The sequence below is a fragment of the Homo sapiens genome, chromosome 1, assembly GCF_000001405.40.
Source record: "Homo sapiens chromosome 1, GRCh38.p14 Primary Assembly".
NCBI lineage: Eukaryota > Metazoa > Chordata > Mammalia > Primates > Hominidae > Homo > Homo sapiens.
Window position 1 is genome coordinate 91,679,666 of NC_000001.11, and position 17,251 is coordinate 91,696,916.

At 40.1% G+C, this 17,251-nt stretch overlaps 1 protein-coding gene across 12 annotated transcripts in view, besides 2 other annotated features; it reads right to left on the bottom strand.

Annotated features, from left to right (window-relative positions):
• TGFBR3 (transforming growth factor beta receptor 3) overlaps positions 678-17,251 on the bottom strand; it is a 225,660-nt gene continuing 209,086 nt past the window's right edge. For all 12 annotated transcript variants that reach the window (NR_036634.2, NM_001195684.1, XM_047429247.1 and 9 more), the window contains 2 exons: positions 16,007-16,114; positions 678-4,192 (listed from right to left, as the gene is read on the bottom strand). Coding sequence is in view for 11 of the 12 variants with exons in the window: in NM_001195684.1 (NP_001182613.1) it covers positions 4,074-4,192; positions 16,007-16,114 (227 nt within the window). In the remaining variant the exon portion in view is untranslated. The remainder of the gene's footprint in view (positions 4,193-16,006; positions 16,115-17,251) is intronic.
• Positions 4,091-4,594: an enhancer, noted in NCBI's record as "H3K4me1 hESC enhancer chr1:92149313-92149816 (GRCh37/hg19 assembly coordinates)". NCBI's record gives its function as "activates a minimal SCP1, AML or CMV promoter by ChIP-STARR-seq in primed H9 embryonic stem cells {active_cell/tissue: H9 hESC(primed)}" and the evidence as "EXISTENCE:reporter gene assay evidence [ECO:0000049][PMID:30033119]".
• Positions 5,074-5,153: an enhancer, noted in NCBI's record as "active region_1306". NCBI's record gives its function as "activates an Ori minimal core promoter by ATAC-STARR-seq in GM12878 lymphoblastoid cells {active_cell/tissue: GM12878}" and the evidence as "EXISTENCE:reporter gene assay evidence [ECO:0000049][PMID:35858748]".

The following is a 17,251-nucleotide window of genomic DNA, read 5'->3' on the forward strand; positions in this document are numbered from 1 at the left end:
CAAATGGGGCAATTACCTAAAGGCCTCAAAATGGAGTCTTTTTAGGATTACTTTGGCTGCATGGTGGAGAAAGAATTGAAGGGAGCAAAATGGAAAGTCGGCATACCAGTTAGGAGGCTGCTGCAGTGACTCAAGAGACAATGGCTCTTGAGCAGTGTGTAACAACAGTCAGAGTAGGAATAAGTCAGTGGTTTGAAGAAAGAGACATTTTAGAGGTAGAATAACACTCGGACTTATTGATTTGGGAAGAGGGGAGCCAAAGAGGCTGTAGTTAGATTCCCAGGTTTCTGGCTTGGACAACTGGAAGACGGTGGTACCATATGGAGATACGGAATGCTGGAAGCAGCAATGGGGTATTTGAAGGGGCTGAAAATAGTAGACCTTAAATGTATATTATGTTTCTTTCTTTGACTCTGGGAGATTGACAGAAGGCCCAGGAATGGTTTCCAGGGTGAGACACCCACTTCCAAGTCTCCTGCCATGTTTTTCTGAGAAGAGCGACAGCTCCTGCTGCACTCTTCTTCTAGTCCATCCGCCCTTCCCTCTGCTCTGGACCTCTTAGCCTTTCTCCTCCCACTTCCTCATCAACACGGAGCAGACGATCCATTCAGGAGAAAGTCACAGTGAAAAAAGTTACATGAGCCTTAGGGTAGAATTTAATGATAACAAGACACATATTAATAACTGATATATATCTTTTTATTATGCACAGATAAAAGATTTAAAACTGTGGTTATCAAAACTATACATCTAAGCATCTTCACAAAATAGCTGACACACTGAACAGAGAAAAGAATACAACAGGGGTGTTCAAACTGGCCACAGGGATTTTAAGGGTACTCGTTTTACCCTCATAGATGATGAAAACCAGCAACAAAATCAGGCTCATTCAGGAAAAACCAGAAGAGAGAAGTATTGTATTTGGAAACTGATAATAGTCCTTTTTAGAAAAACATCTGTCAGTTTCATGAACAACCCCCAGATAAAACAAACATGAAAAAAATCACATAGGACTCACCCAACAAAATGTGCTCTGTTAACACAACCAGCAGTACAATCATCATTCAAACCATGAGGTAGTTACAGTACAAAAAGACTGGCACGCGTGTGAGCACCCCACACACACTCACAATCATGCCCACTAAGAACACAAGCAGGAAATGGATTTACAATCTTATTACAAGGCAAAGAAAAAAACCATTTTTTTTGTTTAGAAAATGCTATAGAAACAGTTTAGACAGAAGAAATCTCTGGCTTTTTAAAATACAGAGTAACAGCTGGTAAACACCACATGGTGAAAAGCTATAGCGTATTATACAGACAATCTGCCTTGGAGTTTGGGGCATTTTAACAACAGCTTCAGCATCAAACAAACAACAAAATGGCCTCTGCAAATTAAGGGTGTAGCCTGCAGAAATAACAAAAGACTGCAGATACAAGAGTTCAGCTGAAATACAACAATACTTTTAAAGAAACTTGTAGTACACGTTATAAAAGTAGAGCTTGTACTTTGTATTAAAACTGTAAAGTGTGAAGCAATTAGAAATACTGTAATGAGAAGCTAGGGAGAAAATACCTTATTTTTTTCATGTTCATTTTTTAGAAACATTTCAGAAATACTTAACGACATTCACTCTCCAATATGAGATTAGGTTTTATCGACACAGATTTCTTGATCTGAATAATAATTCTGACAATGAGACCCAAACAAATAAAAGGTGATTTTTTTCCTCTCTCTCTCTTTTAAAAAGATCTTTTGGTTTGCATCTATAAATTTGTAAATTAATTTTAAATTATTTATAAAATCATTGGCAATGTAGCATCTCTCTTAAAAATATATATTTAAATATATTACAGAAGGTTTTAACCCTGTCCTTCTAAGACATCAATCTTTTAATATCTCCTAATAGCTAATTTTCTTTTTAACACGATGGAAAAGATTTTTTAAAAAAGCAAAGGACTGATCGAAAGAATTCACAGTAGCTGAAATTAAACATTTCATATGGAGTAACTTAAATTTATCTAAAACACTTAAATATATCTTTATACACAAATTTTGTAGTAAAATATAGCTATAAGTGACTTAAAGACTCTAGTCTTCTTTGAAGACATCTTTAAACTTTTTTATACATAGAATATGCTGAAACAATACATTCCACCGAAGGTTAGGCAAAGCGCAATATTTTCAAACACAGGTAGCGTAATCTAGGTCCTCCACTCTGATACCCTTCTGTTAAAAAAAAATTAAAGGAAAAAAATTCTCTAAACTCATGTCTTCTTCGTTTGTATATGGAAATCTAGAAATTTTTCAGTAGATCAATGTAGATAGCCTGGAAATCTCAGCCCTAAAGTAATGTTTTAGTTAAAATGTTCCTTATTGAAAAAAAAAAATGTTCCTTATTGAATGTGTATATCTATCAGGTAAGTCATATTATTACTCAACGATTTGGTAAAAATGATTGTCAATTTCCACATACTTGTTTCCCATGTAGACACTGCCCTAAGGTTTTAAGCTTCATCAGGATTACCTACTGAGGTTCCATTCACAGACAACCAGGCATAACTTCCTTATTTTAAGGGCAGTGGGATTTGCTTATGAATATTTTGGGGGTAGAATCTATCTTGTTCTACTTATGGAATTCTAAGTTGTTTGGGGGAAATTCTGGAAAAAGAATAATTTGCAATGAAGCTATCTTCAGCAGTAAAATAATTTAGCATGATAATTCCCCCCTGGCATTCTTTTTTTTTTTTTTTTTTTTTAACAAGGAGGTATCACTGAGCTTATTTTAGCTGCAAAGTGGCATCATATTATTCCATTTAATGAAATTCACCTCAAGCCCTTTTTGACATATTAAATATATGGGATATATTTAAGGCAAGAGAAGTAAGGCAATCCAAATGAGTGCCCTTTTCCAATCTCAGCACTGTCTTGGTGGAATTGGTGACACTATTCAGATAACCAACTGGAGACCGACAGGATTTGCCATGCATTTGCATCTTGCTACAGTTTGGTTTTTATGAAAGGGCCTATTTTTTTTTAAGTTGACATATTTTGAGTGGAAACACTCACCCTACCAAATATACTTAAGTTGCAACTCTAAAAGCATAAGGACATTTTCAAATTTTCTCTTCTTCAACTGAGAAAATGAATGTGCCAGGTGACATATTATATACTTGTACTTGCATACACATAGAAATATATCACTGTGCAAATTCGTCCTTGACTTTATAACTGAATTTCACCTCAAATTATACATTAATTTGCAGAACAAAATATTAGGAATGGGCACAAATCTGTGGTTCCTGATTTTGGTCATTTTCAATTTCTGTAGGCCTGTAAGAAATACAAAATTTGCATTAAGACATTTTGCAGTGGTGTATGCAAGTATGGGAAGAAACAGGAAGCTGATAAGGTCATCAGCATTGGTTTTGGCCCAGGGCACAAGAAAGGAATGTTGCCTTAACACTTGTCAGGGTGCAGTCCCTGAGGGCAGCACCCATCAAGGGACACATCAGACCCCACAGGTTGTGGCAGCAAGGTCAGAAGTGTGCATCCAGACAAAGGTGCAAATTAGACAGGAGGATCGCTTAGAAAGCCTCAAAGCATTTCTTGTTTTACATCTTGGTTCAGATATAAAGAATCTTTGGCCGCATCTCCTCACTGGTTCTACTATCTGGCTATTAACCCTTTACCAACTCCTTGAGTCTGGGTAAAACTCAGGGCCCCAAATTATGGATGTTCTCACCTGGACAAAGCAGCATTTTAAAAACTGGCATGTGTTTCACATTGAAAACCCCCAAGCCTGTGAGGGGCTGGTGGAGAAGACCACCATTTTAGCTTTCTCACATGAATTCTAGTGTGGTACAGAAGCCCAGGGTCATGTTTATACTAGCCCTGGGTGTGGGGTGAATACAACGGGTGATCTTTATACTGAAATTCACTCTGTCTTTACAAGGGAACCAAAATCCAGCCCTCTGAGTCTGGACACGAGGCTCAGCCATTGGTCCTGCCCTTGGCAGTAGCTGAGCTGAGCTGGGCTGGGCTGGGTTGGGCCGGGTTGGGCTGGGTTGGGCTAGGCCGTGCTGCTGCTGGAGCAAGGCGTGCTCTGCGTGCTGCCGATGCTGTGGGCAGCACTGCTGTTTTCCGAGGCTGGCGGGGAGGTGGGGACTTGCTGCCTTCCTGCTGTCTCCCCTGCAGTTAATAAAGAAAAGGCAGAGTCAGAGAAAGACGCATATTATGTATGTGCATTCCTGAAAAGATCATTTATTCCGCATTTGCCATTTTAACTGATATTTTTCTCAACCAGGGCAGAAGCAACTAGACTAGGTCCTAGATGGCTGGAATACCTTCTAAAATAAGGTTTTGCTATTTGTTGTTTTATTTTTAAAGCATCATGAATGGGAAAAAGAAGACAGCTGACTGACAGGCAGCTCTAGTGGCTAAGACCCCTGAGAGTTGATGACAAAGTCCCTGGATTTCAGGGTCCACAACCTTTGATGAAATCACCACCACTTGGTCTGTGTGAGCTGGCAACTGACCAGCACCTGTATTCAGGAAACACTGTCCATCTTCTCTCATAAAGACACTGTAGGATTTGGAGGGTGTGACCTTTCAATTGTAGTTAAGAGAACCCTGGAAGTTTGGGAGCCTTGTTCTGAATGCACTTGTTAAAAACAGGAGTGAAATATAGACTTTGTCCTAGCTACAGTAGAGAGAGCCTTGTGTGCCAAACAGATAAATTACCTGAGAAACCGGGGTGGGGGATAGCTGCTATTGGAAAAACCTTTTGGGGAAGGGGTTTAGCTGTTTGCACATGGGGACTGCAGTTGCCAGCGAATGGCCTCTCTTCCCCACTGAGGTTCCCTGTGGGGTGCAGTGTGAGTATCTCCTAACACTTTAAGCATCCCACTTTTCATTACACACCCCACTGCATTTTAGCTAAAGCCATTCATCGTGCCAAATGTGCAGTGCTTTGGAGAGGAAGGAAACCTCAAGTCACACACATGGTTTGCATTTAACAGTGCAAAAGGCCCTAGAGTTAGTCTTCTCTTCGGCAAAACCGGCCTCAGTGCAACCCTCAAAAAATGGCTCTAGGTAGGGAAAAGCGATCAGGGCTCTCCAATAAAAAACACTGCATTTACTTTGAAAAGTCAGAGCATAAACTTCATAAACTTCTTGTAAGCAGCATCCCCTCCTTCAATGTGGGAAACCCCAGAGGGCCAGGCCTGTTTATGAATGAGCCTCCTCTTTCCTGTCATGCTGAAATACACATCTATCAGCCGGAGATAAGCAACCCTTCCAGCTGCTTCATTAAAACAAAACACTCGAGGAAAGGCCCTGCCCTCCAGTGCAGGAACTTGGCCCCATTACTTCCATTCTCTTTCTGGGGCCCCTCAAAAGCCTCTGTGAAAAAAGCAGTTCTGCAAAATGTAGAACTGGCTCATGTCCCTGGGTCTGGTTACAGCTTTTCCTGTCACCCCTTTCATGAACCACACAGCTATACACACTTTTGCATCAACCTCAAAGTATTTATGTGCTTGTTGTAAGTTTGGCCCTTGTTGTACTTCCTCTAATTATCTTTTCTTCTGGGATTGGCGGGATGGATAGGGGACTGGGGTCAATATTCCTGAGAAGCGGAGAAGCACTGCCTTTTTTTTTTTTTTTTTTTTTTTGTGAGACGGAGTCTCGCTCTGTCCCCTAGGATGGACTGCAGTGGCATGATCTTGGCTCACTGCAACCTCCACCCCCCGGGTTCAAGCAATTCTCCTGTCTCAGCCTCCCGAGTACCTGGGACTACAGGCATGTGCCACCATGCCTGGCTAATTTTTTGTATTTTTAGTAGAGACACGATTTCACTGTGTTAGCCAGGATGGTATCGATCTCCTGACCTCGTGATCGGCCCACCTTGGCCTTCCATAGTGCTGGGATTACAGGCGTGAGCCACCACGCCCGGCTGAAACACTGCTTTTGACTTTTTTGGAAACCTATGTTTTGGACCCTCCCCAGCACTGCCCTCTACTCTTCATGTGTGTGTATAATTAAGGCTGGGGAAATTAGCCTCCATGGCAATAACTTTCTGCCAAAAATTCACTTTCCCCAGAGTAGGAGCTTTATTTCTAGAAGGGAATCAAATCTCTTAACTATTCTGAGGTCAAAACAAAAACAACCTCCAGAGACCCAAACAACTCTAGATATACTTTAAGAATTTGACTCCCTTACAAACCACATGTTGGTCCATACCCAGCTGGATCCTCACATAATCAATCAGAAGGACTAATGTGGCTATGCATGAACCACATTTTAAAAATATTTTTTCCTATTTTAATAAGGATACATCTGAAAAGCAGGAGGCCAACTCCATCTTTTTCTTTTTTGGCTCACCTGGGCTTTGTTTGCTCAGCCCAACAGCAGGTAAAAGAGAAGGCCTTGCTTCATCAAGCAATAGGGAGCAAGTGTGCTCCTCCAGGATCTGCCCTGTGCTTGATTATTCACATTCAGGAAAAGTGCCAGGACTATGCCCTGCCCAGGAAGCCTGAATATCTGCTTTCCGATGTCTATTTGCCAAATATAATTTGTTGCCATGTCAGTTTATTTTCATCCGTGCCCATTAAAGAGACCTTTCAACTTCCCGAGTTTTGGGAACTCTTGTTCTGGTAATGCAAAACACTTCAAAACAAAACCCCAAACAAAACAAAGAAGCCTCCGCACTCAAGACTGCAGGATGCATCTCACCAGCTGGATAAGTCAAGTTAACCTAATATTATATTGACTTTGATCCAATAATGGGCCAAGGTGAGTCTCTGTCTGAGAATCTGCTGGGAAATATTGAAAGTCCCCTCTTCAGACCATCCTTTCCAGTTCTGTGGCTATTTTCACATGTAAGATGCAAGGTTTCTCAATATAACCATGTTTTAAAAATAACTCTTACCTTTTGACAGATTAAGTTTTTTCACTGTCAAATGGAAGTGATGCTACAGAAAAATTCACCATGAGGAAGAAAGTTGAATGTACAGATGCTTCTACTTAATGGGCCAACAGAGACCCCTGGGTTTTCTGAGATGGGTCTTTGGCTGTCTGCTCTCCACTGCAGTGGTCTCTGATTTCGTGGAGCACCAACTTTCTCTAAAACATCCCTTGGGTGACAAGTATAACAAGGCTGCTCCTAAAGGAGATGGGCAGGGAGGACCTCGTGGCTAAGCAGACTAGGCCCAATTAACACATCTAAGAAATTCAAGGAGGGCGCCTTGCTTGTAAATAAATATCAGACTTGGCCAGCAGAGGAAATGTACTCAGTCTTCCTGCTTTCCTCCTAAAATATCAAACCACATTGAGGGAACAGAGATTTGAGAGGAGGGAGAGTGAGTAGGGGAGAGAGGAATTTGGTGCCTGACATACTCTGGAGGAGGAGAGTACACTGAGGATAAGGACACTAAGGATTAATTCCACCCATCTCACAGTTAGCCTATGGCTGGGCCTAGATACTGCCAGAGATGCCTCAAGAAATAGAAAAACAAAGCCAGGTGCAGTCACTTACAGTGCCAGCTTAGGAGGCTGAAGGGGGAGGATCTCCTGAGGCCAGGAGTTAGAGACTGCAGTGAGCTATGATCTCACCTGTGAAGAGCCTCTGCACTCCAACCTGGGCAACAGAGAGAGACCCTGTCTCTACCAGGGGGAAGAAGAAAAAAAGAAGCAAAAACAAACAAACAAAAAACATTTCTTAATGGAGAATGTTTTATTTCTTTAGCATGGCATGGAGTTGCCCAGATCTGACTTCCTGCTACCTCTTTGGCGTCTATATTACAACTGTATTCTTATTTCTAAGTCTTTCACCATGGCAGGTCCTGGGGAAGAAACTATTCAAGAAAGATGTGAATAGCATGGGAGGACTCTGTGGGGAAACAAGAGAAGAGTTAAAAAGAAAGGTGAGGGCAAGCTTGGTATTTAGGCCAAAGGAGACTATTGCAAATACTCTCCATGAGGATTATTACAAATAGGAGCAGACAGCTGTTCTTTATCTCCCTGGAGGGCAGAACATGAGGAAATGAGTTTAAATGGCAGGACTAGGGATTTAGATCAGATAGAAAAGAACTTGCTGATTATGAGGATTGGTTAGTTATAGAGGGAATTTATGGAATCTCCTTCTCAGGAGATATTTAAGCACAGGATTGAAAACCATATACCTGGGGACACTTTAGATTTAATATTCCTTGATGCTAGAAAGAAAATAAAGATATTTTCTTCTAGATCTACGTGTTGGATGCGATTTTCTATCAATTAATGTCTCAGTTTCTTGATCTCCTAACTGTAATTAATTCACAAGCTCACTCTTTAAGCAGAGTGAACGATACTACCTTTAATTTAGAGAAGTCTTCAATCACTTTTTATCATTTTCAAATTTCATTCCTCCCCAGCCTCCACACAAAAGACTCTTCTTTTGCAGCAAAATTCTCCAGGAGGGGTGAGTTAGATGTTGTTAGAAGTCACGGGGAAAAGACTATATCAAGAATTAAAGTTTTTCACAATGTCCTGCCTACTACTTTCTTTCTATATTCCTGCAGTGTGGCCAACCTGTTTGTATATGGACTTTGGTTTTCTGTGGTATCTTCCCTGCCTTTGTGGCCCCTGAATAGGATGCAAAATCTGATAATAACTAAGAAGAAGAAGAAAAGCAAGAGGGAAAGAGAAATCAGGTGGAGGAGGAAGGCTGTCCTCCACAGCTATCGCTACAACCCTGAGTCAGAAACTGGACTTGAAGCTCTGGTTTGTTCAATGGCTAGACTTGCTACCTTAGTAGGTATATTAGTTGTGTTTCCCTTTAGTCAACACAGAGATAATCACTACTTCACAGGGTTATTAGGGTGAGCGTACTTAAAACAAGAAATGCGTAATAAAAGCTTTTTCAACTTTAAGGCTGCTCTGATGTGTAAGCAGAAAAAAAATCTAAGCGTGTAAGGAACACTGTTTCACAGAGCATAATAAAATGCTGAAGTTTTGAATTAGGTGTGCCCGTCCCAACTCATCAGGCAGTTTTCAACAACCCTCCATGGAACACACCATGTGTTCTTAAAGCAAAAGTCAAGCGCATACCCAAAAGTCCACCCAAGTCAGGTAAGAGGTTTTCATTAGAAGTAGCTCGGGAGGTGCCAATGTGTTCAGAGGCCTGAGGTTTCTCCAGGTTCCCAAGTGTAGCCCGATGAAAAGAGAAACAGCAAGCAGACAGACTAAGGTGTGATAAGGTAGGAGGCAAGAGACCAAGTCCCAGGGATCAGACAGATGCAGCTGGAACAGACGGAAACCCCAATGTGACTGTAAAGAAGGCAGGCTCCACTCTCTTTTCACTCAAATGCCCATATCATTATTTTATAAAACCATTAAACACAGAGGTTAAGATGAATGCCTTCGGCTTTCCTGGTGTCTATTGGTGTGTCTTTTTCTCTCAAAAAACAAAGCACCTCCCGGAGCATCTGGCCATTCATACCCTTCCCCCTTCTTCTCACCCTCCCCTCAGTTTCCATAAAAGGTTAATAGAAAACTTAATTCTTCAGATTAGAAACACTTCTTCTTTCTCCAGTGAGACTTCCCTTGTCAGTTCTCCATTTTTCTGACACAGTTCATCAGGTCATTGCTTTCCTAAAGGTTGGCATGTGTGCCTGTAGCTGGGTTTCTGCCTGAGCCAATCTGCTTATAATCAGTCTGTTTGGTTATTCTCTTCCTCTGAATATATGGGAACTCCACGACAGCAAGGACTTTCTGTTGCTCATGGCTATTTTACCAGTGCCTAGAATAGCGTTGGCATTTAACAATAGCTTAAAAAATCCATTGAATAAGTTGAGTGAAAGAACGAATACATGAGTGAACAAACCAAAAAAATTTAGCTGACACTAAACAGAGGCAAAAAGAAAAACCGAAACACATGTTAATTAATGTTTATTATCTGATAAGCAGAAGGAGGATAAAAAGATTATGGCTACGTGACCTTTGAATTTGTAATAACAGAACAGGAAGAAAAGAGTGAACTCTGAATCAAGAAAGCAAGCCTTCAGTCCTGGCCGCTGTGCCTGGGTAACTTTGAGCTTGTCACATCAGTTCTCTGGGCTCAGTTTTCTCGCTACGTAAAAAGGAAATGCTGATGCAGACTAGTAATTTTCCAAGGACTCCCTTTAAGAAACTGATTAAAAAAAAAAAAAAAAAAAAAAAAGCAAGGGTACGACTTTGCATAGAGATAGTGCATTTAAAGGCATTGACTTGCATTCCTTTCCCAAATCTTACCAGAATGACAGTAAATGGACTTTTAAAGGCATAAACACATGAAAACAAAGATAACAAAAGTAAAGATAACAGCAATAAAATATATTGGAAGCTGGTGAGGAAATGGGTGAGTAGCAACTGACTTGGCAGACTCAAGAGAGCCGAAACCTAAGCCAACAGTGGGAAAAACTGAGAAACAAGCAATTTATGTCGCCGAACCCTTAAAAAACTCAGGGAATGGTGGCATCAGGCACCTCTGGAAACCTCCCTTGAACATATGGCTATAAGCAAGAGGGGTTGGCTGAACTATATGAGAAGCAGAATAGTTCTCTACATTTCCTCCCTCGCTCCACTGGGCTGAGATCTGCCCTTCCTAATCCAGGAAGAAGACGGGAATTTTACTCTCTTAAGAGGAGGAAACTGAAGGTTCCAGAAATGATCAACACCAGGCACATTTGAGGGCAAGAGTACCACATTCAAAAGGGGGGGATTCGGCAAACATATATTAATACGTATTTTGGCTCACCTGGGCTTCTTTTGCTCAGCCTAAAAGGAGATAAAGCCAGATGGCCTTGCCTCATCTAGCAACAGTGAAACTCTGAATCAAGAAAGTAGGGTTCCAGTCCTACTTTGTAACAAATTTGTCTCCTGCAGAATTTGCCATGCGCTTCACTATTTGCATTCGGGAAAAGCGCCAGGATTATACCCTGGCCGGGAAGTCTGGATATTTGCTTTCCGGTGTCTATTTGCCAAATATAATTTGTTGCCATGTCAGTTTATTTTTATCAGTGCCCATTATAATGGTCTTTCAACAGCCAGTCCTATACCTTTCAAGCAGGAGGCAAAAAAACATATTTTATGGAAGCCTGAAGAGCTAAAGAGGAAAGATCCAATGATGAGGTATCAGGGATTCATCAATAAAATGGCCCAGTCAGATCATCTTAAAGAAGTTCACAATCAATACATCCCACCCACAGCTTAGAATTTCCTCATTCTTTTTTTTTCCTCATTCTTAAATAATCCTATATTAATATTCTCAGATGATACTGCACCCATGAAACAAGAATAGAACTTTTTTTAAAAGAAAAGAAATTCACAGGAAAAAAGTTATTAGAATTAAAAAAGTTATTGGAATTAAAAAATTTGAAGCCAGTATTAAAAACTCAGTAAAAAACTGAAAGATAAAGATGAGACAATCTCCCAGAAAATAAAGAAAGCAGACACATGGAAAACAGGAAAGAAAGGAAAATTAAAGGACAAGAGGTTCAACTTTCAAATAAAATGATTTCTAAAATGAGAGAAAACAGAAAAAAGGGGGTGAGAAAAAAATAAATCATTCTTAAAAATCTCAGTACTGAAAGATATGAGTTTCTAAACTGAAAGGGCCCAATTAGTGACCAGCATAATGTATAAACATACACCTAACTCAAGAGATATCATTGTAAAATTTCTTCCAGAAAGAAAAAACAGGTTATATACAAAAGGGATCAGGAATCTGCACAGCTCTGAACTTCTCAACAGCAATCCTCAGAGCTAGAAGACAATGAGGAGGGCTTTCAAAAGTCCGAAGGAAAAAGTGTCTATAATCTAACATTCTGTACCTTGCCAAACTGTCTACCAGGTGTTTCTGTTAAATGAGGATATTTTCAGACATGCAAGGTGTGAAAAACATTTGCGTCCTCTGTACGCTTTAAACCAGGAAGAAGAAAGGCAGGAGATACATGACACAGGACATCCACAACTCAAAAGAGAAGTGAAGGGAATGCACAGAATGGTAGCGAAGAAGATCATAGGAAGACAGCAGTGTCCAGAAATGGAGGGAACCGGTTCAGACAGGAGCAGGTCAGAGGCTCCAGGAAAGAGCTGAAGAAAAGGAATCAGTAGAACATTCCATATGTCTCAATGTATTAAAAGGAGATTGAGACAGCTGGCAGGGTCAGCAGAAGAATTAATGATAAATACATAGAAAATTAAGCTGATGACTGAGGAAGGAGAATGGCAGGAACCTGAGAGGCGGAGCTTGCAGTGAGCCAAGATTGCGCCATTGCACTCCAGCCCGGGTGACAGAGCGAGACTCCGTCTCAAAACAAAAAAAAGAAAAAAAAGAAAAGAAAATTAAGCTAATGGGGTAGGGTGGGGAAAGATAATAATTAATTCTAGGGAAAATTAAAAGTCATGCAGGATATTATACTACATGAGTTAACTGTGATTAGCATTTAGGTAGTCATAATAATGTAAACAGTAAATGCTGCTCTAACCAAAATGTCAGTATATTTCTATTAAGAGGATGGTGGGGGAAGGGGACATTTTCCATAACAGGAGGTCTAGAGCAAAGGTGTAAACCTGCAAAGTCAAAAAGCAGCAATATACTCAGGTTATTTAGAAGTATGGATTAACATCCAAAAGGATGAGCTAAGCGCCAAAAATAATGCTCTGGGGAGTGAGAAAAGAAGGTAAGGACAGTAGGGGTGTGATTTTTTTTTCATAATGAGTCTTGTAGGATTATTTCAACCTTTAAACTATTTGCATGTACTACTTTGATGAAGCTAAAAAGTTTTACTAGAAAATAAAAATAAAAGCATTTGTTCCTCCCTTCAAGAAAAAAACAGATAAGATTTTGCATGTGACTTTAGGGACCTTCATGGACTAGAAGTTAGGGACCCCTGAACTAGGTAGGGTTCCTAGGAGCATGAACATTCTATGGTTCCAGCACCATTTCAGCCCCCAAGCACCCCTCCTCTCTACAGCATCTTAGGAGAGAATGTAAGTTTTAGGAATGGAGTTTTCCAAACAGAATTAATCCAGCCTTAAGGGAATATCTCTTATTGTGCCCAGAGTTGTCATATGATAAAGTGGGAACCCAGTCTTTGTAGAGTAACACACATTCCAGGTATGTAAGTAGATATCCACAATCCAAATTTGTGACTTGGTTTTGTGCTCCGTGCTGCACATGGAATGGAAAGCGTAAACAAAGGAAAAGTTATTCAAATTAAGGATTGTTTTTCACACAGAGGCAGATGCTATCTGAACCCCCAAATACAGCATATACGATCTGTGAGTTCCACAGCTTCAATCACTGTTGAAATTGAACGGACTGAGTCAGTATTTGTATCCTGGCTCTCCCCATTGCCCACTGCATTATAATCTTCCTTATTAATCTAAATTGCTGCTAGCTGACCCAGGTAACAAACTGAAGGGGTTCTGGAAAAGAACTATCATGTGGTCCTGAAGTGAGTCTTCTTCATGCTTGTATGATGCTGGTATTCCTCAAGAGCAATCTATAAAATGAACCAGAGGCTACAGTTTTTAATAAAAAGTAATTTTGAAGCTGTCTCATAAGTCATGCCAATGGATTTTAAGCCCAAATGACAGTGTCTATAAACCTTTTACCTTCTGAATCAGTGTAATTCATTTTGCTGGAAAGCATCACAGGAGGGAGGTCTTTGGTTTCATTTTTCTTAAATTTACTTACAAACCTATTTCTACATTAACAGTACTTGAAAGGCCCTCCTGAAGTCTCTGGCTTGGGGGAAAAAGGATCAGTAACAACAGACTTCCAAATTCAATGAGGATGAATACATGCCATACCACCAAGTTTTGCTTTTTATCAGGTTTGTGTGCTTGGCTGTGGGTAACAGTCTGGATTATTGGGGGGATTTCAGTGGGGCATGTTCCAGTAGTGAGTATTATCTGGTTGCCCTATATTCTGCCTGGACCTGGCTTCCTGGCCCAAGATTAGCTATGAGAGTGCAGCTGTGTGACCAAGGCCAGTCAGTGGCTGAGCAGGCACATGGTAAACATCTGTGGGTGACCCAGTCTTCTTGGAGGACTTTCAAACTCACTCCCAACAGCCAACACAGGCTGCCAACAGCCCTAGAACCTCTCAGCCAGGCAGGAGGTTGGAAAAGTTGCAAAGAACTGTTAGCTTGAGATCTGAACATGTCGGTATTCCTGCGACAAAATTACTTACTTTAAAATGCTGCTCTGCTAAATTCTGTCTTTCTGGTCCTTTTATAAACTGTTCATGAGGGAGAATCCTCCTAAACTGATTCACAGATGGTTATATAATACTCCAGAATCATGACACTGGAGTCTTATTTATTTTGAGACAACTTCTCTCTCTGTCGCCCAGGCTGGAGTGCAGTGGCACCATCACAGCTCACTTCAGCCTCAACCTCCCAGGTTCAAGCGATCCCCACCTCAGCCAGCTGGGACAAGAGATGCACACCACCACGCCATGCTAGTTTTTGTGTTTTTTTGTAGAGACATGGTTTCACTATGTTGCCCAGGCTGGTCTTGAACTCCTGGGCTCAAGTGATCCTCCCGCCCCTGCCTCCCAAAATGCTAGGATTATGAGAAGTCATTTTTTAATCTTTCACGTAAACATACTTTACTCAAAGTATCCTGACTAGGAACAAGCATTTGAGGACTCAAAGTCTCTCTATTCAAGTCTTCTACATTTTTGCCAAGAGGTTGCCTTTTGGGTGAATGTCCCATGCTAGGCATGAAAGAGTCCATTCCTCTCCTTCTGGCGTAATCTAAAATACCTCAGGCAGGAGATGTAGTATTTAAAGTGAAAATTCTGATTTGAATCTGACACTTTTAACTATCAGAGGATCACTGTGTCATGCTTTTATTCTCAACAGCTTGACGTTTTGTCTAGCAATCAAGAGGGTAAAGATATGACTCTCCAAAATATCCTTCAGTACTTCCTTCCTCTTTAAATCAGCCATCCTTTCAGCTTGGCCCAAGGGGAAGCCAAAGATCATGGCATTCATTGGTTTAATGGACAATTAATGAAATTATAAACAGAGAAGCTGGGCCTGCCACTTGCCTCTGACGGATCAATCTAGCACAGTTTATCTAGGTTCACAGTATAAAACTACAAGGATCCAAGAACAAACAAGAACAAGACCGATTTTATACATTCTAGTTCTCCAGAATGCCGCAAAATGCATGTCACTCCTGCCCATAGTTGAAAGGAAACTAAGAAAGAATCAATAGCAGGACAATCCATTTGTTCTTTCTCCATTGCACTAAAGACTCCCTTTGCTGGCCTGCATTCTGTATTGGGGTCAGAACAGGTTCTCTCATCAGGCTAGTATGTTTCAACCTTGGGATTGGTAGGGAGGAGCACATCTGAATTTTGAAGATTGAGGGATAATAGCTTGAAAATGAAGTGCTCTGTTTCATCACTTTTTTTTTTTTTTTCAGTTCATGGAAATCTATTTAGAAAATTTAACTTTATAGAAAAACATGAAAATTTTATGTTTTATCAAAGAAGACATAGCATGGGTTAAAAAAAGGTTGAGAAAATCTGGTTTAAGTCATTGATTAAGGACTCTGATGGACAGTGCTCAATACCTTGGCAGGTGTGGTAATAAAATCTTGGCTTTCTTTTTCACTTCCTCTCATGTATATGCCTATCCTTAAGTCTTTGGTTTTGACGGAATGGTTTGTATTTCTGTACGTTGTCTGCATTAACCTTAAACTCTAACAACAAAGTAGCTTTATTAGCGGCTAAATTTCACCAACATCACAATCGCAATTAGCACAGTTTAAACCTTCCTTTTCTTTCCACTGTTTATGGCAAATTATACTTTTGTGAAACCCAATTTATACCAAATATGTAAATGTAAAAATAGTAGGAATGAACTTTCTCTTTCATTCGTTATTTCATCCAACAAAACACTGAGTGTCTATTGTGTGGCAGGAACACAAGCTGTTCACCAACTCTTACTCAACAGTCACACTAACCTGTGTGAGAATAGATGTACCACAAGGCCCCCGTCAGGAGTGCTCCGATCACAAAGGCTGCAAACGCAATGCCCATCACGGTTAGGGTGTCCAGACCATGGAAAATTGCTATAAAGGAGAGAAACCGATACACACAACTTTTTGGTTAGTCTGCATCATGCATTGCAATTTTATATTTGTTTCACAAGCACTGTCATAAAGGTTGAGCACTAATAAAATCGGAGAATGCAATGAAGATTCCAATAAAATACACTGTATTTTGTAACTTGCAAATTTTTTTCAAAGGTTAAATGAAATTATCAGGTTTCCAAAGTATTCTCAGTTTGCAATTTATTTTGATCAACAAACTAACTAAAAAATCAGATTTGCAAACTCAGTAAAATCTTGTCTGTCATCTCATTGTCTCACTCTAAGGACCTACTATTTGAATGGAGGGTAGCTTGAAAATTCACAGGTTAAGATGCTTTGGAAAATAAAGTGAACTTCCATGATCAAAATCTGGCTTACTGCTGCTTATTCACTGAACATCTCCAAAAATGACACACTGCACAGAAAACACACACCTTAGAATACTTTATACACATATTTTTGTGAACATTTACAAGTATGAAAGATAACAGAAAGAAAGGAGAATATAGAATAAAAATAAACTATTCCTGTGGATTATAACATTTCACCGATCTCCTCATATTAAACTCTTAATCTTAACAGCTTCATATTGTATCATTTAAAACAACCTACTTTTTAACACTTTTCCAACCATGATCTTTCTATAAGGGGAACGGAAATACTTCCCAGTGGGGAGTGATGTCAGTTTTATGGTCAGCAAAACATATAAATAGAACCAATTGTTTCTCCATTTGGCAAAGGTTTTTATATTTGAAATTAATTCCAGGCCCCAGAAATAGAACATTTCCTTTCATTTAAGAGAACTACCTTCTTTGAGTCACTTATAAAAAGTTAAAATTGGTTTCCAAGGGGGAGGAGTTTTAGGTAGAATACAATTTCTAAGGTCTCTGGGTTTTGAATATAAGTGGGAAATACAGGATCTCCCCACTATTATCATATTATTTCTACTTTCTGCTCCAGTCAGAAGCAACTCCAGTGATCTCTGTATAAATTAAATCCCTGCCTTTCAACTCACTTCAGTGTAAAGAAAGCTATTTTTTTTTTACATTGAAGACTGCCATACACTCCTGTGACCTTTGGGCAGCCCAGCACTCCAAAGGCTCGGGGAAAGTATGC